The sequence below is a fragment of the Homo sapiens genome, chromosome 15, assembly GCF_000001405.40.
Source record: "Homo sapiens chromosome 15, GRCh38.p14 Primary Assembly".
Lineage (NCBI taxonomy): Eukaryota > Metazoa > Chordata > Mammalia > Primates > Hominidae > Homo > Homo sapiens.
In genome coordinates this window covers 51,827,619-51,851,519 of record NC_000015.10, presented here as the reverse complement: position 1 = coordinate 51,851,519, position 23,901 = coordinate 51,827,619, and the positions used below count along the sequence as shown (strand labels likewise).

The 23,901-nt window shown below is 40.8% G+C and overlaps 1 protein-coding gene across 1 annotated transcript in view, besides 2 other annotated features; it reads right to left on the bottom strand.

Annotated features, from left to right (window-relative positions):
• Nucleotides 1-21,867, bottom strand: part of TMOD3 (tropomodulin 3) — an 86,073-nt gene extending 64,206 nt beyond the window's left edge. Inside the window, exon 1 of the mRNA NM_014547.5 lies at nucleotides 21,684-21,867. The gene's annotated coding sequence lies outside the window, so the exon portion shown is untranslated. The remainder of the gene's footprint in view (nucleotides 1-21,683) is intronic.
• Nucleotides 21,308-21,587: a silencer, noted in NCBI's record as "silent region_6441". NCBI's record gives its function as "represses an Ori minimal core promoter by ATAC-STARR-seq in GM12878 lymphoblastoid cells {active_cell/tissue: GM12878}" and the evidence as "EXISTENCE:reporter gene assay evidence [ECO:0000049][PMID:35858748]".
• Nucleotides 21,808-21,962: a silencer, noted in NCBI's record as "fragment chr15:52121755-52121909 (GRCh37/hg19 assembly coordinates)". NCBI's record gives its function as "represses an EF-1alpha promoter that drives an FKBP-Casp9 reporter gene in an ReSE screen in phorbol 12-myristate 13-acetate-treated (for megakaryocytic differentiation) K562 erythroleukemia cells {active_cell/tissue: K562(+PMA)}" and the evidence as "EXISTENCE:reporter gene assay evidence [ECO:0000049][PMID:32094911]".

Sequence of the window (23,901 nt, the reverse complement as noted above, 5' to 3'; positions counted from 1 at the left end):
TAACTAAACAAAATCAACCAATCAAAAGTTACTAAATAAAACATTTGCTGGCTGTCCTTAAACATATTCACAGTCTAAACCAAAGAACATGTATTTTTGTTAATGCCATTTCTGGTATCATTTTTTGCAAAAGATTGAGTCTAAAAAGTGAAACAAGCAAATAACTTGTCACGCCTTAAAAAATTTTTACACAATTGCTGTTTCTTATTTTCTTTACAAGATTTTCAATGCTTACTGGTCAAACTGCTGAAGAGTCATGAATCTGGCACCCAGGAACCGTAGTGATGATCCCCTTACTCTGAGTTCCCTGACCTTCTTTCTTCTCACAGCCCAGTCCTCAGCTTACCTCAGCTCCACATCCCCATGGTTATCACCCCCCAGCAGTCCTTATCCTTACCAATAAGTGTGCCCCTCCATAACTCTCAACATCTTTGACTGTGTCTCTCTGGAACTCCTCTGGCAAAACCCCACATCTGGTTAAAACTAACTCTTCCGGCCGAGTGCGGTGGCTCATGCCTGTACACTTTGGGAGGCCAAGGTTGGCGAATTACGAGGTCAAGAGTTTGAGACCAGCTTCACCAACATGGTGAAACCCCTGTCTCTCCTAAAAATACAAAAATTAACTGAGCGTGGTGGCGCGTGCCTATAATCCCAGCTGAGGAGGCTGAGGCAGGAGAATCGCTTGAACCCAGGAGGCAGAGGTTACAGTGAGCCGAGATCGCGCCACTGCACTCCAGCCTGGGTGACAGAGCAATACTCCGTCTCAAACAAACAAACAAACAAACAAAAAACCTAACTCTTCCTACTCCTCACCAGCACCAGGGTGGCAGATGAAGCTGGAGAAAAAATACATGAACTGACTGGCTACATTTAAAATGTATCACCACTAATGTCAAAGAGTACTGCCTAATAATTCTAATATTCTAGTATTTCAAATCCTAGTCCAGTCACTCTCCTACTCTCTTAGATGACTTTTTTCTACTTCTTTTTTCTCAGACCTTCAATACTGCCTACCCCTCACTCTCTGATGACCTTACCTTAATATTTCACTGAGAATATAGAAGCAATCATAAAATGACATCTGAGTTCCCATCATATCAACAAACCTGCCACACCTGTACCCATACACTCTACCTTCCCTCTTGCTATTATGGATAAACTGTCCAGTCTCTTACCTAAGGCCAATCCTGCCTCTTGGAACCAGATCCCATCCCTGCTCATTTATACAAGGGTTCCAGTATACATTTATACAAGAGCACAATTATCCAGTAATTGTGCTCTTTTTCTACTGGACCATGCCCATTAGCACACAGACTGTAATACATACCTCAAATAAAAAACATATAAACTCTCCTTCTACTTCACATCCCTCTCCAGACACTACCCTACTTCTTGGCTCCACTTTACAGCCAAACTTAAAAGAATTGTCTATATTTGGTAACCCGAGTCCTCTCCCTCTTATTGTCTCAAATATTCTCCCATCTGGCTTTCATCCCCACCACTCACTCCACCCAAACTGATCTTGCCAGCACAGTGCTAAATCCAACTGTCAATTTTCAGTCCTCATCTTTTTTTTTTTTTTTATTGAGACAGAGTCTCGTTCTGTCACCCAGGCTGACATGCAGTGGTGTGATCTCGGCTGACTGCAACCTCCACCTCCTGAGTTCAAGCAATTTTCCTTCTTCAGCCTCCCGAGTAGCTGGGATTACAGGTGTGAGCCACCATGCCTGGCTAATTTTTTTTGTATTTTTGGAAGAGATGAGGTTTCACCATGTTGGCCAGGCTGGCCTTGAACTCCTGACCTCAGGTGATCCACCTGCCTTGGCCTCCCAAAGTGCTGGGATTACAGGCAGGAGCCACCTTAGTCCACATCTTAAGAGACCTATTAGACACAGTGTCTGGCCATAAAACACTTTCCTCACTTGGCTTTGGGGACATCATTTTTTCTTGGTCCTTCCTCCCTGACTGCCCCATCTCATTCTCCTCTGCTGGTTCCTCCTCATCTTCCTCATCTTCAAATGTTGGAGTGCCCCCAGTACTTAGTTCCTTGGACAGCTTCTCTTTCTATACTCACTGCCTTGGTGATTTCATACACTGATAACTTTTAAATTGATATCTCCAATCTGGACCTCTCTCCTGAATTCCATACTTGCAAATAACTATCCATGTAAAATCTCCACTTGGATGGCTAACAGGTTTCTCAAATGTAAACATACAAAACAGACTCCTAATTTTCTCCCCCATACCTGCTCTTGCCATGTTTTTCCCATGTAATAAACAGCAACACCATTCTTTAGTCTCTCAGGCCAAAAATCTTGGAGTCAACTTTGATTTCTCTCGCACTCCACACATGATCCACCCAGCAAATCTTGCTGGTTTTACCTTTAAAAGTCATCTCTTTACCATCTCCACTGCTTCCTTCCACTCTGGTCCAAGCCATTATCTCCTCTTATCTGGGCTATTGCAATAGCTTCCCAACTTCCGAAAGAAGCTGATCGGGAACATACTCCAATAAACACTCCTCTGAGTGCCAGCCAATCATAGTCATACTTCTACAGATTATGTTAACCCACTACAGCCTCAGAAAGTTTGCCAATCCCTGAATTCCACAATTCCCCAAAATTAGAAATTGGCCTGCTCTTCTTAGAGAAACTGTGTCTAGCCAGCATTGCTCTCCCTTATTACAGTAAGCATTAAATTCAGCTTTGCCTTTGTTTCAGATATTGACTGGCAGTCATATCCTTTCATGCTGAAGAAAACTTCTGGTGATTATATATGTTTACTTTTAAATAAAACTATTTCAGTGTTGACACATATTAATAGTAGTTAGGATCAAAATATTCCCTTTGGATGAATATCCATGTAAACTTTTGAAGTAGATACGGTTCACTAGCCAACAATTTCCCAAGTATCTGCTTCAATTTACTTCAATTAAAAAAATTCAAATTGACATTCCCTTTTCTGTTTGGCATGGTTCAAAATTAATCTGGAAATAATGTAACAATAAGTTATCTCCGGCTGGAGATTTTAACATTCAAAACATCAAAATACTCTTCTATTTAATGTTAAGGTTGAGTTTCATCTCTGCTGGTTTGAAGAACATTCTCTTTGATGGAGAAGGCTAAGGTAAAGACAGTCATCTATGTATTCTTGGGATTGTTGAGGCTGAGTATGAATATCTGTCAGGGACAATGTGGCAGATTCCTCAAAGGCAAGGGAGTTTCAAGACTCTCATAAGGTCATTTCCTTTTTATAAGCTTATAATTCTAAATAACACTAATTATAAACAAAGAATATATTCAGTGTCTGTCTTAGCCCATTTAGGCTGCTATAACAAAATACCATAAACTAGGTAGCTTGTAAACCACAGCAATTTATTTCTCACAATTTCCAGAGGCTGAGAAGTCCAATAAGACACCAGCAGATTCAGAGTCAGGTGCGAGCCCACTTTCTGATTCACAGATGGAGCTGTGTCCTGAAATGATAGAAATGCAAGGCAGCTCTCTAGGGCCTCTTTTATAATGGCATGAATCCTACTCATGAAGGCTCTATCCTCACGACCTACTCACCTCTCAAAGGCCCCACCTCCTAATACCATCATATTGGTGATTAGGTTTCAGCATATGAATTTTAGGAAGGTACAGACATTCAAACCGTAGCAATACCCACCACGCTCAAAGCACTGTATTGGCACACATATTTACCTTCTAAAAAATGCCCATTTTATTTTAGTTGTATATAACGTATATTACTTTGATAGCAAATGGAGGAGGATAGAGATGGGGTCTTGCTTTGCCCAGACTGGTCTCTTGGCTTCAAGTGATCCTCCTGCTTCAGACCCTCAAAGTGCTGGAATTATAAACGTGAGCCACCATGCCTGTCTAAGACTTTTTTAAAGGAAATATACTGGATGCTAAATTTATCCTTTTGTTTGGTTCACTGATTCTTCTATATAATGAAGCTTAAAAGACAGTATTTTAATAATTTTTGTGGCGTTTTGGGGATGCTACGGTTTGTTGACTCAGATATTAGCACAGCTCAGTGAGATAGCTGCTTTGCACACAGTAGTTGAAAAAATAGTGGTTGATTATTCTGTGTAAAAGTCCCATGGAAACTAATCAACCTAAGTAGCCCTGTCTTTCCTGCCATTGCTACCAATGCCATCTTGCATTTTAAAAAATGAAATTTATAGATTGCAGAGAAAATAGTTTGAAATCTGAAGGCAGTGCAGAAAAACTTGTTAGGGCTAGAATAAAGAAGAGATGTAATTAGAAGCAGATCACGGAGGACTACCTTAAAGTAGAAAGTAGCCAGATTAGTTCTGTGATTATTACAAGAAAATACTTGACAGGTTATTCATACCACTTCAAAAACAATCTTTCAACAAGACCCTGCTGAGAGACTTCGTGGCTCTCTTGTAGGTGCCCCACTTCCTTTTCTGACGAATAGTAGCAAACCAGCTCCCAGTTCTGTCCCACCTCCCCTTTTTCTTCTTCTTAGTGGAGCTGCAGCATCAGAGACACAGGGCAAGGTCAAAGAGGAACCCACTCTGTGCATACCAAAGATGGATGCCAAAATAGCCACACCCTTAGCATACCCAGTTTCTCAGCACCAAATGTTTTTCAGTTTTTAATTTTTTGGTTTGTTTGTTTAATAGACTGGGTAGACTGGGAAATGTTTTTTCCCAGTTGTTGCAAACTCAAAATATCTTTAAAAAAAAGAAATGACATCATACGAACAAGTCTCTGATGGTAATAAGGTTACAGAGTTCTTTATCTCTGCTGGTTAACTGAAAAAGAGACTTCTACCAGTCCTACTGTGAACAAAACCAAATATGATATGAAGTGGCTTACAGGGAAAGATTTATCAATGCTCAGCCATCAATCAAAATGCTGAATCCATGCCAAGTGCATAATGGTGAGATTAATCTGAGAGTTTTCTTTCTCTCCCCCAAAGGGAAGTATCACCATGACTCATTTTTCCTCTTGCAAGAATTTTCTTAATCCACCAAGTTAGTAAGCATTGAAGAACACATAAAACCTAAAATAAACTAGGCCAGGTCTAAAAGAAATCATGCTGAGAGCAAGTTGAATGTTACGCAGTGAACAAAAGGTATTATTTTTCCTCAGTTTCAATCCTTCCAAATTTCCTGGGCTTCAAACTAGATTTGTTTTTTGTTTTGTTTTGTTTTGTTTTGTTTTGAGCCTGTTACCCAGGCTAAAGTGTAGTGGCATGAACATGGCTCATGGCAGCCTCAAACTCCCGGGCTCAAGCAATCCTCCCACTTCAGCCTCTCAAGTAGCTGGGACAATAGGTGCGTGCCACTATGTCTGGCTAATTTTTATTTTTGTATTTTTTTTTTTTTTGGTAGAAATGGGGTTTTACCATGTTGCCCAGGCTGGTCTCAAACTCCTGGGCTCAAGTAATCCATCTGCCTCTGCCTCCCAAAGTGCTGGGATAACAGGTGTGAGCCACTGCGCTCAGTCAGTAGTGTACTTTTAAATTTTAATGGAAAAATCTTCAGTCTTAAAAATAGATTTTTAAAAGTTTTTAATTTTAGCTAGATTATATAACTGAAGCTCCCTTTCTTTGCTAGAATAAGGAGAATTTTCTGTACCTTCTGACTCCTTGATTGATTACTCCGAAGTCCTTCTCCAAGCTCTATAACAAACTGTGACAAACCTATGTAATTAATAGGATTCAATTATCACCAGAGGAGGAAAAACAAACAAAACCCAGAGGAAACCAAAATTCTTTCCTTGTTTTATTTTTTGAGACAGAGTCTCCCACTATCACCCAGGCTGGAGTGATGACAGCTCACTGCAGCCTCGACCTTCTGGGCTCAAGCGATTCTCCCACCTCAGCTTACTGAGTAGCTGGGACAACAAGTGTGTGCCAACCATGCCCAGCTAATTTTTAAATTTTTTGTAGAGATGAGGTCTCACTATGTTGCCCAGGCTGGTCTAAAATCCTGAGCTCAAGCGATGTTCCCACCTCAGCCTCCCAAAGTACGGAATTACACATGTGAGCCACTGTGCCTGGCTGGAACCAAAATTCTTCAGGAGAAAAAGTCTAGCACTTAGTTAGCTCCCAGCATCAGACTGAGGGTGAGCGGATCTATGGACTTAGGGGTTCTGACTTTAATCTCTTCTTAGTTTCCTGGGCTAGATGAAGAATAGCTAAAATATAGTCCTGGTTCTGACAGGTGGCTCTTCCACGTCCATGACAAACACGGCAAATCAAACAGCCTTTTTTTCACTGAGCACAGATCCTCCCTCAGTCCTTAGGCAGCTACTACCAGTAGATGAGACTTGGCAAAGGTTGAAACCTAGTCATTTCATCCCTGAGCCTGATGGACTCAGGTCTCTTCTAATTCTAATTGTCTATGATTTTAAGGAAACACCATTTAACCCAATCTTGGGGGAAAAAAATACTGACTTGCCCTCATCACTGCCAAGGTGAACAATGTATAAGTAAAAAGGAAAAATATGAAAGCTGAATCATGCTAGATATGTACATACAAAAGCTGAAATACTGCAGGAAAGTGACTTGAAAAACAAGAACCAGATAGACTTAAAAAATGAACAAAGTAAATAATGAAGTCAAGCATGAGCCAATGTTGTTAAGTAGTAGAGGGGAAAAAAAAGTTAACAGTAGTATGACCGTATTAATAAATGCTTTCCTGAAAACTCACCAAATAAAGCAAACTTATACAGCTAATTTTCTATTTTCACATTGATTTCCATAATAAAGTTAGACATGTTTCCATGAAAACATGAATTCCCTACAAATCATAAATCATAGGAATTAATGCAAAAAAGATTCAATCACAAAATTAAATATAAATTCTGTCAATGTAGTAAGAATACTAAAGTAGCACATTCATTTCTGCCTTGGTCTTTATTTCCTTTCCTCTTATTAAAATAAATTTAACAGTATTTAACTACTGCCTCTCTTTAATTAAATTTTATAACCAAGACTCTCAAGAGGAGAACAGTACTGAAAGATATTAGAAAAAAGACTTCAGAATAAGAAAAAATAGGTTAGAAAAATTGACTTGGAATTTAGGAAAGAGGCCTTTGGGAAACAGGTTTCATAAAGGCTTTAACCGCAGAAGGTGATATTTTAAGGAGTTTCGGAGGGTTTTCCTCCCCCCATCATTCATTTACATCTATTCCTCAACTGTGACCCACTTTTTTCTAGTACCTCAAGAAAGTCTACTGGTTAACAAAAGACCTCCAAGGTCCTTCCAAATCTAAACAATCAACTTTTAAAAATAAGTGCTTGAGAATAACTCTGGAAGGATCCACAAGAACCAGAGATAAACTAGTTAGCTGAGAATACAAGGGAGAGGGTTCACTCAGTGTTTGCTATATATCCAGGAGGACCCCAGGAGTTTTGTACCATGTGCATTTATTGATTTTTTTTAATTTAAAGGACAATTCAATCATTTGTTGCAGTTTGATGCTGCATATGAAAAAATAACAAATATTATCCCTGACTTTAGAATTATGCATGCCACACTCAGGTAACAGCAAGAAGTGCTTTGGTAGAAAAAACAAAATAAGAACCATCGGCCATCATACAGTCATATTAGAATTTCAGAATGCTATTAAAAAAAAAAAACTAGCAATCTGCGAAACCAATAGCAAAGCTCATTTTAAGAAATATGTAATTATATATTCTCCCAAGTTCCACAGCTTTGGACCAAAGGCCCTATTTAATTGAAATCCTGAAACTGGGATTGAGGGCAGTTTTGGGGTATGTTTTCTCAAAACCTTTTCCCTAAGGAAACATCAAGAGAAACAACTTTCTAAAGTCCTATGCAGGCTCTTCAAAGCCCTATGTCTCTGAGCCCTGCCCCTTCCCAGGAAAGGTTCTAAGACCTAGAGAAACTTCTGGAACCTCATAAAAAGAGGAAGTAAAAAATACTGCTTTACTAAGCCCTCTGTCAGACCAGGCTCTAGACAAGCAAACTGACTCTAAGCTCCTGTTTTCCTGCTCTAACATCTGTATCTTGCCTACAGTCACCTAAAACACTGCTTTTAACATTTTACTCCTTTACTTAGAAATGTTTCTTGTTAGGTGTTTGTAGTTTGACAGTTTCTCGGGTGATTTTGATAAAACTCCCCTTCCTACTTGCTCTAAGAATCACTAGGAATCCTCTGCTTTAATCAGGCTAGATTCCTCAGGGCCTCACAGATATCCAAAGTTCATCTTCAGCTGGCCGCCTCATTTGTTTCCCACAATGATGTCACTCTTCTTAAACAATCCTTTTTACCCCAGGCCCGAATTTCACCTCTCTATCTTATCCACACGCTGCACAATTCAAAGACTAGCTGAAGTCTGTCCTCTCCAAAGCCTTTCTAGCTCTTCCAACTCTGACTACTCTTTTTCCTCCTCTCAAGATCAGCAGTGCTCCAGGTATGGCATACCATCTAGCCCCATTGCTCACCACTGAGTCATGAGTACGGTGCCCCAGCTGGTAAGAATGAATGCTCCTCAATGGACCATGCCTCACTCTTACATGGTGAAGGCATTTATATGCACCTTCAGAGACACAGCACACTTCTGACTTAGAGATACCACTGGTATTACTCTAATCAACGTCAGGGGCCTGGAGATACATCAAGCTTTATTATCATGATTAATTTTCAGATTGAAAGGGAGTAGTAGTTACAATAGGTTTTTCAAGAGGCACAAGGCCTAAAATTTGCATAATGTATTTTGTACTTCATGAGGGAGGTGGGGAATGTAATACCACTCAAAAAGAGATTTGGTAACTCCTGGAGTTAGGGTATAATTCTCATGAGGTGGGATAAAAGCACGAACTCAGTCAATAGTAGGGCAAAAGAGAGTCAATTCTTCAAGAAAATGACACTGCCCCACTACCTTGACCTTAGGCCCTAAATGTAGAAAACCTCATGCCTAATGAAGTACTATGATATTCAGAATGAATAGCTGAAAAATAACCAACAGACAGGGCACTTGTAAGTAACCACACAGCAGCCACAATCAACATCCACACAACCCACCATAAGCAATTTTTGGAACACAAAGAGAAAGGGCAAGATGACTTACACACCACAGACAGCACTGAAGAGGGCTTGCTAGGAAAAGTAATTTGGTATCATCAAGCTGTATACGTAAAGTTGACGGTATATAAATTATGCCTTGATAAAATTGTTTTTTAAAAAAGTAATCTGGTGACATGAGCTAGGGTATTCGCCTATGGAGAAGCAGCATGCAGTCCAGTAAAGTAAGGGGAGAGGGGTATTCACTAGGTTTTAATTGGCAGTTTCAAGATAGCAGGCACAAAACCTCTGGCACAGAAGCAGAAATGCCTCATGATGTTAAGACAGGAGAGTTCACTATAAATGATAAGAACTACCACAATATAGCCTTTGAAAAATACACACAAACATATAATAAAAAGTCAAACCAGGCCAGGCACAGTGGCTCACGCCTGTAATCCCAGCACTTTGGGAGGCCAAGGTGGGTGGATCACTTGAGGTCAGGAGTTTGAGACCAGCCTGGCCAACATGGTGAAACCCCATCTCTACTACAAGTACATAAAAAAAAATTAGCCAGGCGTGGTGGCCCATGCCTGTAATCCCAGCAACTCAGGAAGCTGGGGTAGGAGAATCGCTTGAACACAGGAAGCGGAGGTTGCAGTGAGCCAAGATCGTGCCACCGCACTCCAGCCTGTGTGACAGAATGAGACTCCATCTCAAAATAATAATTAAAAAAACTCCAAACCATAAAAAACTACTGAAATAATGAGAACCATACAGCTAGTGGCAATTGGGGATAGTTTCAGAGAAAGAAGAAATGGGAGTGGGTGGAGGCAGAAAGAAAAACAAATTAATACTTAAGACTGGTGATAACTGAAGAAAGCAGAACTGATGAAAGAAGGGAAGTCTTAGAAATCATTGCTATTGGCCAAGAAGCTTGGTTCACAGTCTCCAGGACATAAGGTCTGCTTTGGGATAGGTTCTTTAGAAGGGGGCTAAAGGACATTTTTCCTTTAATATCAAATGAGGGAAATCAAGGGAGCCACATACAAGTAAAAGAAAATAATGCAGGAAAAGAGAGGAGGTTGCTGAGAGCTTAGAAGGACCCAAAACAGGAGTTCAGGATAATATATCTGAAATTAACACTTATGACAACAACTATCAATTATTACCTTTAGTGATAGAATAAAACTGGTTATATCTTAATTACATCATAGGAAAACATTTCTTTCATTTTTTACTTTAGTCTCTCAGAATAAAGGGATCATGTCCCATATCATATTATAATGAAGTGAAAAAGAAAGGAATCAATTTTTGTTTGTATACCTGTTATATGCCAGGCACTTTATCATACACATCTCCTCATAATAACCTTGCAAAATAGTTCTATCTCCAATTTACAGATGAAGAAACTGAAGCTCAGAAAGGCTAAGAGCCTGCTCAAGGATATGTACTTTTCAGTAGTGGATGTGAGATTTGAACCTGACCCTAAAAGCCATACGTTTTACACAATATCACACTTCCTCTAAAAAATACTCAATTTTTGCCATGTTTTTAGTTTTATGATACTAGACACTACACATTAACAGAAGTAAATTAAGTGATATTAGGTGATAGCAAGAAGCCACAGCTGGAGATAAAAGAAAAGGAAAAGCTACCAAGTAACCAAAACACAAAAGTGTGGGACAATTTAATGCAGTTTCTAAGAGCCTATAAACGTCAACAATCTCAGAAGGCAATTCAATAGCACGGTACAATAAATGATGCAAAAAAATGAATTCTAAAGTCGATATTTCCCACATCATTTTGGCTAAATTAAGCATCAGGGACTCCATTTAAGAAGGGCAGGAGAAATTATTATAATACATCTTATTTTAAAAATGACATTTAAAATAACTTACAAAAAAGATTTCAACTTCTTGCTAACTTTATAACCTTGGGCAAGATATTGAACTATTGTTTTGTCCCTCTGTTTTCTCATCCGTAAAATAAGAATAATAAGAGTAACCATCTCATGGGATTGATATGTTAATTTGTTAAATGAGGATAACATATATACATCACTTAGAACAGTACCTAACACAGAGCATGTGATCAATGTTAGCTAATAGTCATTATCTTCATTAAATATTATCTTCATTTTTAAGGAACACTTCATTAGTTCACATTAAGTAAATGAGATATTATTCATACTATACTCTGATCCACATAACATAAGCAATTAAGCGCAGAGACTGAGAGAGTTGGAAACTAAAGAGAATACAGAAGAGTGAGAGATCGATGTACACAAAGAAAACAATAGAAGAGAGGTGCTAGCCCACCACTTTGCCCACACTTCTATCAATATTTATCTCACCAGACCATAATCAGTCTCCATGTCTCTGACAGAGAGACCACAATCTATTTCCACCATAGATTGTGAGCACTTTGAGGGCAAGGACCTATTTTTACATTATCAGCCCCTAATATAGTGCCTGCAACATGGTAGACACTAAATTAACATAAAATAAAGTAATATAAGGGGACTCAGTAAGCATTGAGGTCAATGATGTGAGAACTTGGTTTTATCATATCCTAATGGGGCTGGGAGCGGAGTCAGTAAAGTTGTACTGTATTGTCACTCTTTGATTATCAATATTCTACTCCCCTATTCTTTCTGAACTGAGAAACAAATTCCAAAAAGAAATGTTTAAAAAATATTTAATCTGCTATAAAATTAGAAAATTTCCAAATGATAACACAAATTTTAGTAATTCATTTTAAGTATTAAAAATATTGCTCACTAGAAAAATTAGCCAGGTGTGGTGGTGTACAAATTGTAGTCCCAGCTACTTGGGAGACTGAGGCAGGAGGATTGTTTGAGCTCAGGAGTTCAAGGCTGCAGTGAGCTATGATCACACCTGCACGCCAGCCTGGATGACAGCGAAAGCCTGTCTCGAAAAAAAAAATTGCTCTGAATTGACTATTATACCTAAAAGTTAATCCTAATGGTCAAATGGCAAGTCATAGGAATAAATAGACACCAAATAAGAGAAGACTGAGTGTGGTGGCTCACCTCTGTAATCCCAGCAATTTGGGAGGCCAAGGCAGGAGGACTGCTTGAGCCCAGGAGTTTGAGACTAGCCTGGGTAACATAAAGAGACCCCATCTCTATAAAAATTACAAAAAATTAGCCAGGCATGGTGGCACGTGCCTTTAGTTCCAGCTACTTGGGCAGCTAAGGTGGGAGGATTGCTTGAGCCTGGGAGGCGGAGGTTGCAGGGACCTATGATCACACCTGCACTCCAGCCTAGGCAACAGAGTGAGACCCAGTCTCAAACAAAATGGAAAAAAAAAAAAAGAGAGATACACCTATTTCTTAGCTGTCAATCTGCCAGATGCAGGGAACATACCAAAAAAGAGAAGGCATGGTCACTTCCTTCTGACATCAAAATAAGCATGTTTTGAGATGAACAACCCCAAACCTCCTTGTGTGGGGGGACCCACCCCTTATTCCAGTCCCTGTGAAATATACAGCCAAAGAAACAACATAACAAAGCCACATCTTTCACAGCTGTTTGGTACAGGGGTCACCACTCTCAATCTAACCAGGACGGATCAAATTCAATTCTTCTCCAGAAATCTGGAAAGCTGGGAGACAAAACTCAAGTTGAGACATAAGGTATCACCAAGTCTGGAGGCACTACCATAACAAGCTAGTCACCTTGAAGCTGAAGCTAAGGGGAAAGCACAGAAGGTCAGTCTGCAGGGAAGAGAATGAAGCAGGGCTGGGGCTACAGGGAAAAAGTAAAGGAGGCACCTGCCTCAGGGTGTCTCAGTATTTAATAGGGTGCAAAAAAGCTCAGCAATCAAGATAAATTACACAGTAATGCATACTATTTTTTAAAAATTAAAATTAATGTCCTAAAATGGAGCAGAGGCACAGAAAGAAGCCAAAGAGAGCCCTACAAGCAGAGAGAGGACAGAGACTTTCAAAGTGTCTGCTCTGGGTACCAGTGGTAGGTCATTTCACGGACCTCAGCAGCCTTACAATAGTAATGCAGTACAACTCCCAGCTCTGCCACCATACCATCTAGCAAGATAGCTTAAGTGGGTTTGTGTTCCCGGAGACCTAAACACCTTGACTAACATACTCTATTTGGGAAAATGAGACATGCACATAAAGTGCTTTTTGTTTTTTTCAAGAAAATATATAATTAACTGCCAAAAGAATGGTACTGGCTATTAGTGTACAGAAATTCAGAGATCACTGTGGGTGGTCAGGGAGGGACAGAATTAGCTACACAGAGAGGAGTGGAGAAGTATATACTAAACAAAGAGATCAAAGCACAGGCTGAAAAAGGTTGGAGCTGGGAGGGAATCCAGGGCAAGAAGAAGAAAAGTAAAGGGAAAGGAGCGATCTTCACACACCCTGTGTTACACAGAAGTAAGTACGCCTCCATGCTCTTCCGCCTGCAGCCCTTACATCACACGGTTCATTACACAGGAAATGTCCTTTTGCACTCTTTCTCATGTTCAAATCCTTTCACATCTTTCAGGGACCAGTTCAAGTAACATTTCTGCAGAGGCTCCCCTTGTGTGCTATACCAGATTCAGGCAGTGGGAGAAGAAAAGAGGAAACAGTTTCTTCTGAGGTAGGAGGGAAGGCTAAGGGGCTTAAAGCAGTGCCAGCTATTCTCTGGTGGAGGGCACACTATATCACTTGGAATGCTGGCCAATGTCTAAGGAAAGCAGGAAGTGAGATGACTTGACAAGGAATAATAATGGGGGTTCAAGAAAAGTGGCAGAGGAAAGGCAAGCACAGAGGGTGTGCTGAGGACTAACAGAAGAGCCCACCTGCCCCGAAGGCCTTGCAGAGGTGAAATCCTACACATCTGCCTTGGTCCATTTCTGTGTAGGGTTCTGTAATTTTTCACCAAGAAACTGTAAATCTTAGGGACAACAGGAGAAAAACAAAAGTGGGGTGGGCATGACTTTGAAATCATCACATATTTATTGCTATTTCCAGTGAAATTAGACCCCCAACTCCTCAGCTGGTCTAGCACTCAAGTGGGCACATTAAAGAGGAAAAAAAAAAAAAAGAATAGTTCCCTAAGAGTATTAACCTGGGTTAATTATAGCCCACCATGAATGAAAATAAATCTTGGGGGTTGTATCATATCTTGTCACGTTTGCCTCAGGGTAAGGGCTGCCTGAATATAAGCCAGACTCATATACATTTGAGGGGCTTCTTCTGAATATTCCTTAACTCCTCATCAAAGTTTTACCACCACACCCAGGGAATGAAAATATTTTGTTGGCTGTAATTTTCCACATGGATGGAAATCCCCTACTGTATAAGTATCACTAATAATATCCTGCTCAAAAGAATTGCTATGCTATGGTTAAGGAAATACAACAATCTTCTTACCTACAAGTCTATATATATATATATCAAACCCAGCCCTCATTTTCTTCTAGTTTACCATGTTTTTATTCACTTTCTCACAGACACTTCAGGAACTGTGTTCACTTGTATGTACTTATCATGATGTTCATGCTTAGTTATGCCCAGATATGAAACTGTTTATTTGTAGGGGGTTATCATCACTGTATATGTTACCTTAGTTTGTAAGTTTGTCTTAGTGTGTTTGTGTTCCTTCCTTAGTGAGTGGGTGCAGGTGTTGAACATATATACCCGAGGCAGTGGATATCTTTATAGCTCAAAAAGGGTGCACATCTCAGGAGGAACCTTGACTGTATTTCAGTATTTTTCTTTTTTCTTTTTTCTTTTTTTTTTTTTGAGACGGAGCATCACTCTGTCACCAGGCTGGAGTGCAGTGACATGATCTCGGCTCACTGCAACCTCCACCTCCCAGGTTCAAGCGATTCTCCTGCCTCAGCCTCCCGGGTAGCTGGGACTACAGGTGTGTGCCAACATGCCTGGCTAATTTTTGTATTTTTAGTAGAGACGGGGTTTCACCATGTTGGCCAGGATGGTCTCGATCTCCTGACCTCGTGATCCACCCGCCTCAGCCTCCCAAGGTGCTGGGATTATAGGCGTGAAAACGAATTCTTAAGAGTAGTATAAGGGTGAAAGAAGCCAGGCACAAAATATGACATATTATATGATTCCATTTATATGAGATGTCCAGAAGAGGCAAATCTTAAGAGAGAGTAGATTAGTGGTTGCCTAGGGCTGGGTGGGGGAGACCAGGGGGGAATTGGGAGGAATTAGGTAGTAACTGCTAATGGTAAGGGGTTTATTTCTGGTGTGATGAAAATGTTCTAAAATGGTGGTGATGGTTCTACAGTTCTGAATGTAGCAAAATCCACTGAACTGTACACTTTAAATGGGTGAATTGTATGGTGTGCGAATTATATCTCACTAAAGCTGTTATATGTTAGAGAAAGGGGGAAGGAATGAATAAGGAAACCAAAGTTGTCCTGCATTTCCACAGAAAGGTAATCCTGTCTTTGAAAATCTTAGCTTTTTTCTGCTTCTATTTTAGTTAAGCTTTAGGATTCAAGACTCCTCACTGGTAAGTCCCCAGTTGTCTTTTCTCCATCTCTAATCTTTGTCTTTACTAACAAGGGTGATCTACCTAAGGGAGACAGCATTCACTAGTTACAACTCAATCTCTGAACAAAAAACAATATGCACACTATGATTACAATCATATAAAAATACGTATGAGAATGAATCAGGCCTGGAAAGAAATGAGGAAAAGTAAAAATAGCTACATAAGAATAATGAGGTTGGGGTGACATTCTTTTTAAAACTTAGTGTATTATCAGCAAATAAACTTAGAAGAAAAAAATAACCAAACTGTCTCCCTAAAAATTGTTCCAAGGCAAATTCAGAAATTGCATCACAAAGGATTGGAATAGACAATGGAGTAGAAACATGGAAACTAAGGCTGGGTGTGGTGGCTCACGCCTGTAATCCCAGCACTTTGGGATGCCAAGGTGAGCAGTTTGCTTGAGCTCAGGAGTTCAAGGACAGCCTGGGAAACATGATGAAACTCCATCTCTACTAAACATACAAAAATTAGCCAGTTATGGTGGTGCATGCCTGTAGTCCCAGCTATTAATACTTGAGAGGCTGAGGCTGACGGACTGCTTGAGCCCAGGAGGTCGAGGCTGCAGTGAGCCAAGATCACACTACTGCACTCCAAACTGGGTGACAAATTGAGACCTTGTCTCAAAACAAAACAAAACAGAAAAAGATGGAAACTAAAACACATGGCTTATATATAATTGCATCTATTTAGATCAAGCCAATAAACAAGAAATATTAAGCTCCCTATAGCTTGCTATGTTGGAGTCCTAGGTGATCTTTCCTTGCTTACATCTCCTTCATTCTAAACATCTGCCTATTTTATAAGGAAGATGCAATTGCTTCTAAAATGAGGTTGTCTCCATTAACTCGACCCACAGAAAAGCCATTTAAAATTCAAATTCATACTTAACATTCTTCCATCAGGAAATACATGGTAACTAGCCCTGGATCAATCTCAGTCAAGTCCCAATCTGGAAGAGGAGCATAAACATTTAATTTTTAAGGTCAGGGTCCGTGCTTAAGAAACTGACAATATAAGCACAACTAAAATGCAAAGTAGCTCAGCTGACACGCTAAGATGCCAAGTCAATCTAATGGAGAAAAACAAACAAAAAAGAGATGTGTTCTGTTTTGTCTTGAGACAGGGTCTTACTCTGGCCCTCAGGCTGGAGTGCAGTGGCATGATAACAACTCACTGTAGCCTCCACCTCCCTCAGATGATCCTCCTGCCTCAGCCCCCCAAGTAGCTGGGATTATAGGTGCATGCCAGTACTTCCGGCTAATTTTTGTATTTTTAGTAGAAATGTGGTTTTGTCATGTTGCCCAGACTGGTCTCAAACTCCTGGGCTCAAATGATCTGCCTGCCTTGGTCTCCCAAAGCGCTGGGATTACAGGTGTGAGCCACTGTGCCTGGCCGAGAAAGGGAAGTTTTTCTTAAACCTATGTTGCTGGAACAACTAGATATCTATATAGGTGGAAAATGAACCCAAACTCCTATCTTATATCATAACACAATAATAATTACTTTGAGATCAATCACAGACTCAAATGAAAAACTTAGAAAAATAAAGTTTCTAGAAGAAAAAGCTTTCTTTGCAATCCTGGGCACTGGTAAAAATTTATTGGTCAGGACAAAAAACACTAGCCATAATACAAAAAATTGATAAAACAGACTTTATAAAAATTAAAAATTTCTGCTCATCACAATATCATTGAGAAAGTAGACAAGGGACAGACTGTATAAAAAAAAACTGTCAACACATCTATCTCTATATGTGACAAAGAACTTGTACCTTGAATATATAAAGAGCTCCTACAAACAATAAAAAGATGAATGACCCAATGAAAGACTAGGTAAGACTTGAACAAACAATTCACAAAAAAAGATACTGCATAGCCAATTAACATATGATAAAGCACTCAACATTCTTAATCATCAGAAAAATGTAAATTAAAACCATAATGAGGTACAACCATACATCCTGTAGTGTGACTAAAATTGAAAAGGCTGACAATACTAAACATTGGCAACACTAAAAATACGGAGCAAGTAGAACTCAGTATAAACCACTTTGGAGAACTGTTTGGCAGATTTTTAATAAAGTTAAACATACACATACCCTATGACTCAGTAACTCTGCTCCTAGGTATTTATCAAGAAACTTGTAAAAGTATGTTCATAACAATCTTATTCCAAATATCCATCAAGGAGAAAATATAAATTGGGGTACATTCATACAATGGAATACTATTCAACAACTTAAAAGGACAAACCACTGATACTTGCCAACAACATAGATGAATCTTTCTTACATGAAAGAAGCCAAACACAAAAAAAGCACATGCTGTATGATTCCATTTATGTGAAGTCCAAGACCAGTCAAAAAATCTCTGTAGTGTCAGAAATCTATGGAGTCAGGAAGTGATTGCCTTTGGAGGAAGGTGGGTGAGGGAACTTTCTAGGGTGACTTAAAAAAAATGTTTTCTATCTGATTTTGGTAGAAGTTACAGTGTATACAATTGTCAGAACTCCTTGAACTGGATATTATGTGCATTTTATTGAATGTTAATTATACATCAATAAAAATACAAAGTAGCAATGTGCTTCAAGATACAGACTAACAATTTTGTTTCAAATGAAATTCAAGACTACACAAATGCATCTTCAGTTACACAGCATTTTCAATCATGTGCCATTCTGATTTATTCACACTTCTATTCTTTGATCATTGTAAATAAGCTAATGGATTACAGACACATATAGATAACAGAATGTATGTTCACATACATAATTTTTTATAAACACCAAATTAAATTTGATTGTTTACAATTTAAATAAGCACTTAATGGACCAGTTATAGGCCCAGTAGAATATTCTATTGTCTATACCATTTTTCTCTCCATATATTTGTGATTTTAAAGGATCTGACATAAAACTGCATGTAAATCAAATGTCAGCAAGGACTATCAATGACCAAGGGATGATAGCGCTTTAGCCACACGGCCTAGAGAATAATGCCCTCCTCATCTACTCTAATCGAGAGAGCTCATGCATATTAAAGAGCAACTGAAAAGTGTGAAGAGTAGTTTGCCAGCTACAACACAGCCTAAATATCAGTATACATCAGACTGACACCAGAAAACCTTACTAAAAGCCTTTTTTTCCTCTACTGTTTACTGGATCCTCCTCTTTATCTTTCTCCCTCCCTCTATCCAGGTATACTTTTATCCGCAAAGCCTCTCATCCTCCCTGTGATATTGCTCAGATATAATTGATTTTCTCTTTTGTTTTAGTTTTTGAGACAGGGTCTTGCTATGTTGCCCAGGCTGTCCTGGAACTTTTGGGCTCAAGTGGTACTCCTGCCTCAGTCTCCCAAGTGGCTGGTACCACAGAAGCGTGCCACCACATCCGGTTCTAATTATGTTCATGTATCTGGCTCATCTCAGGTTCCAAATAAAATAAATTTACAGAATTCCACTATACTCTATGTAGATATGTCACATACATTCAAACAGTATAGACAGTATAGCCTGGGGAAAGAGATGACCAGTGAATGGAAAAAAATATTGACTTTAGTTGTTCCCCACTCCTGCAACTGGAAAATATCTCTCCTGAATATCTACCACGTTTTTATTCCCTACAGGTGGCTCTTACAAGTGCTGTGGACTATACATAAGTATATCTGCCTAATCCCAAAGAGAATAAGGTCCTAGACAGGAACCATGTCATTCATATATATATATATATATATATATATATAATTTTTTTTCTTTTTTTAGAGAGACAGGGTCTTACTCTGTCACGCAGGCTGGAGTGCAGTGGCACAATCATTGTCTCTCACTGTAACCTCAAACTCCTGGGCTCAAGCAATCCTCCTGCCTCAGCCTCCTGAGTAGCTAGGACTACAGGCATCACCACTACACCTGGCTAATCTATTTTATTTTGTAGAGACAGGGTCTTGCTATGTTGCCCAGGCTGATTTCAAACACCTGGGTTCAAGCAATCCTCCTACCTTGGCCTCCCAAAGTGCTGGGATTACAGGTGTGAGCCACCAGGCCCGGCCCTGGCCTCATGTCTTATACATATTCACCAGGAGCCTGAAACATTGCTTTGTACAGAATACAGAATGGGGCAAGACACATACTTGAATTCATGAATTGCCAAATTAATGTGAATGAAAACAATTAAGGAAGGAAGAGGAGGAGAGAAAAAAAAAGCAAAGAGAAAAAAGAAAAACTAGCAAAGAGAAAGGAAAAGGAAAGAAGGAGAAAAACTTATGATGACAATTGTTCTTGTTAGAGTTCATAGGACTACAGTATTTTAAAAAACTGAGAGTTGAAAAAGCCATCAATTATGTATCTAATATCAGTTATCAGTACCAGTATTTAAATTGCTATTAAAAACACCTGAAAATACCTCTAAAATTACCTCCCCACACTTGACATTCAAAGTATGGTCTCTGACAGCATCACCCATCAGACATACAGACTTTGGACTCTACTTCAAACCTAGAATATCCTGAATGAATTATGCATGCTAAAGTGTTTGAAAAGACTGCCCTCCACCATTCAGGGCCTTTCTGTTGTACCAAACCTGTTTTGTTTCAATGGGCCAGTAATTAAGACACGAAAAATCTTTGAATGGGATTTGACCTGTACCTATTTAATTTCAGATGAAGTTATTAATTACAATGTAGGTTGGCATATTGGATATACCACAAAATTTAGGAATTAATCATAAAAAATATGATTAAATAAAATTGAGCAGTAGGTCTACAGCATTCTCAAGAACTCATGTTTGCTCTTTCTCATGTCTATCATAGGACTTGGAATGCATATCGCCAGTGTTTCCTGAATGAGCAAAATAAATGAACTTTTAAAAACGAGAGATATTTAGGGGCAGAATAATCTTGGGGGTCATCTGGTCCAACAACCTAATTTTAAAGATCAGCAAACTACAATTTCTGAGAGTTGCAAAAGCAAAGAAAGCTCAAAGAATTAAAATATATTGGGACATTTTAATTCGTTTTGTTCCTTTCGTAGGAATGTGTAAGAAAGGGGACTGTAACTATTATGATTGCTGACTCTTAAAGGTGAAAAGGTGCCTAGGAAGAAGAAACTAGCAAGAGTAAATGAGACTTGGCAAAGCTATTTTTCCAAGCCTAATATATTTTTGACGGGCCAATTAATCAATTTAATCTGCCAAAAAAATTAATCTGAAGGTTTCTCAGAAAAGGAGAGGAGACATGAGCTGCATGAAAATGTTACAAACCAAGGGAGGCTGCACATAACTAACTTAAATCTCCACAGGCTTATTTCCTGTTGAAGTATGGCCTCCTGGGGTAAGTTTTACTGCAGTGTTCATTGCCAGATGACTTTTGGTTTTAACAGAGGCCAAGGGCAAGTTGGAAATGCGATTCTTAACTAAACATTAAAAAGAAAAAAAGAAACTGTGGCTGTTTCCCATTTCTGTTTGTAATCAGAATGCAGGCTTGCGGAGGAAACACACCATCCCCCGCAAGCAAAAATATAACGACACAGTCACGTCCTCAAAACAAACTAACACACAAACTTCCCAGCCGGATCCAGCTGTGCTGCCTGGGAGCTAGGAACTTAATTCTAAGAGCAGACAGATCAAACCGGTGAATGCAAGGGCAGCCACATTTCAATCACAAAAAGGGTGTGCCCTAAGTTTTGGCTCCCCCACTCCGCCGCCCCACTTTCAACAAGCCGAAGCCTTTGAAGGAGGCTCGGTGCCATCTCGGTGTGATCGCGTCCCGGCGACGCTGGGTAGGGTGCAGGGAGCCAGCTCGGCCGCGGCTCAGCGGGAGGGGAGGGGGCCGGTCCCGAACCCGGGCGCCCGGGCCGCGGGTGATTCACTGGGAACGCCAGGTTCGCGCGCCTAGACCGGCGGGCGACGCCCAGCGCGCCCCACGTCCCCCGCCCGGGCCGTTCGCGCAGAAGCAGCCCCCGCGCACCCCTGCTCCCCGAGACGGACCCGTCGGGAAGGAGCCTGGAGTCGGGCGGCCGGCGGGCAGCAACCTCTCCCTCCTCAGCCACCATGGCCGGTGCGACTCCCTACCCGCGCCCGCAGACGGACTTCCTGGAAAGCACCGGGCTGGGCTTACCTGACTGGCGCCCGCAGGGGCCGCCGACCTCTTCACAGACCCACGGAAACTGCCGGCCGCAAGCCGAGGCTCGGTTCCCAGCACCCGCCGGTCCGCCCGCGTCGGCCTCCCAAAGAGTTGCCAGACCCACCCGCCAGCAGCTCCCTCACTCGACCGCCCTGTAGGTGCGGTGGGTTCCTCCTTCGCCTCCGACGCGCGTGCGCACTCCCGTGCCGCGGGGCATCCTGGGAGTTGTAGTTCTAGCAAGAAGGGCGAGGCTCAACGCTGACCCTGGTCTTTACAATGGGCAGAACGTAGGAAGGGGACTGCGAATACCAACCCTTATCCCAGTCTAAGATAATGTTCTCTACCCGTGGAAGTACCTACTATGGACTTCCCCGAAGCTGGAAATAGTATCTAGAGGCTCTTTGGTATAGATTTCCTTTTTACTTTGACCTTTTGTAAAGAAGCGCACATGGCAGGGCTTGCATTGTAGCCTTGGTTGTTAATGCGAGGACATGACATTGGGGCCTTTAAACTGGTCATGACAGAGTTATAGAAAAGTAAAGGAATAAAATCTAAAGCCCAAGAGAGGCATAAATCATGCGAATGTCACCTCCAGGGTGTGGTGACCTTAGTGGTTTTCTTAGGTATGCGTTTCGGGGATGATGTAGCTATTGCAGGGCAGTTTCTGCCCATCCTATCTTCCCTTTCCATCTTCAAGCTCTACACCAGGCGGTGGGGCTGGCTGCTGTAGTGGGAGAAAAAACAGAATAGGCTGCTCAAGGGGGGGATTGGGGCAGATGGGTAGTCTAGAGGGAAGAGGAAGAGTGTGGGAATCTCTCAGAGGACTGTTTGACAGTGGCCTATGTAATGGCTACCTTTTGTGCGAGGCTCTGAGGAGAGGGAACTGCGACATTTTTCCATTTATTCATTTAGTCACTTACTGGGAATTTTCCTGGCCTGCTCTTCAGGAGTAGACCATCCCCAGGAATAATGCTAAACTTTGACACACCTTTCAAAAATGCAGCCAAAGAAGTGGACTGACGTGCCTGCTTGAGGTACATTCCAGCTACACCCAGTGTGCGAGCCACTTCATGGTTTAAACCTCTCCTGGCATCTACTTCTTCCCCTCAGAGGAGGGAGGACCCTAGGTTAGATAAACATCCTGGAATTTCATGCAACTGGCACCCACTAATTTCAGCAATGGAGATCACTGATGGTTTAGGTTTTTAAGGGAAAAAAACCCTTCTTTTTTTTTTTCCAAGACAGAGTCTTGTTCTGCCGCCCAGGCTAAAGTGCAGTGGTGTGATCTCGGCTCACTGCAACCTCTGCCTCCCAGGTTTAAGTGATTCTCTTGTCTCAGCCTCCCAAGTAGCTGGGATTACAGGCACGTGCCACCACACCCAGCTAATTTTTGTAGTCCTAGTAGAGATGGGTTTTCACCATGTTGGCCATTCTGGTCTTGAACTCTTGACCTCATGATCTGCCCACCTTGGCCTCCCAAAGTGCTGGGATTACAGGCGTGAGCCACCGTGCTTGGCCAGGAAAAAACCCTTCTCAATTGCAAATACTTAGAGGACAGTCAACACTCAATCTTGTGGCCATTGCATTTTATTTTCTATACCATCTTTGGGTCAATCTCTTGGAGATAACAGCTTTCTGAGAGCAATTTCCTACAGAATTCAGGTTCATAAGAATGTTTATACTTATAATACATACCAACCACTGGGCCAGCACTTCATTTGTAATATCTCATCTAATCCTCAAAACTAATCTAGTCCTCAAAACTCTATAAAGAATAAACTGGTATCCTCCATTTCTATAGATAAGAAAATGAAGACTCAGAAAAGTTAAGTAATTTGTATAAGGTCCCAGAGCCAGTAATTGGAGATCCAGAGATGAGACACAGTTCTCTTGAGTCAAATTCTAATGTGATTTCCACTGCTGATCAGACTGATGTGTCTCCTAAATCTCATCAATTTTTTTTTTTTTGAGACAATCTCATTCTGTCACCCAGGCTGTAGTGAAGTGGTGCTATCATGGCTCGCTGCAGCCGTGACCTCCTGGGCTCAAGCAATCCTCCAACCTCAGCCTCCTGAGTAGCCTGAGCAGCTGGGACTACAAGCATATGCCACCACACCCAACTAATTTTTTTAATTTTTTTTTTTTTGTAGAGACAGGGTCTCCCTATGTTGCCCAGGCTGGTCTTGAACTCCTGGGCTCAAGGGACCCTCCC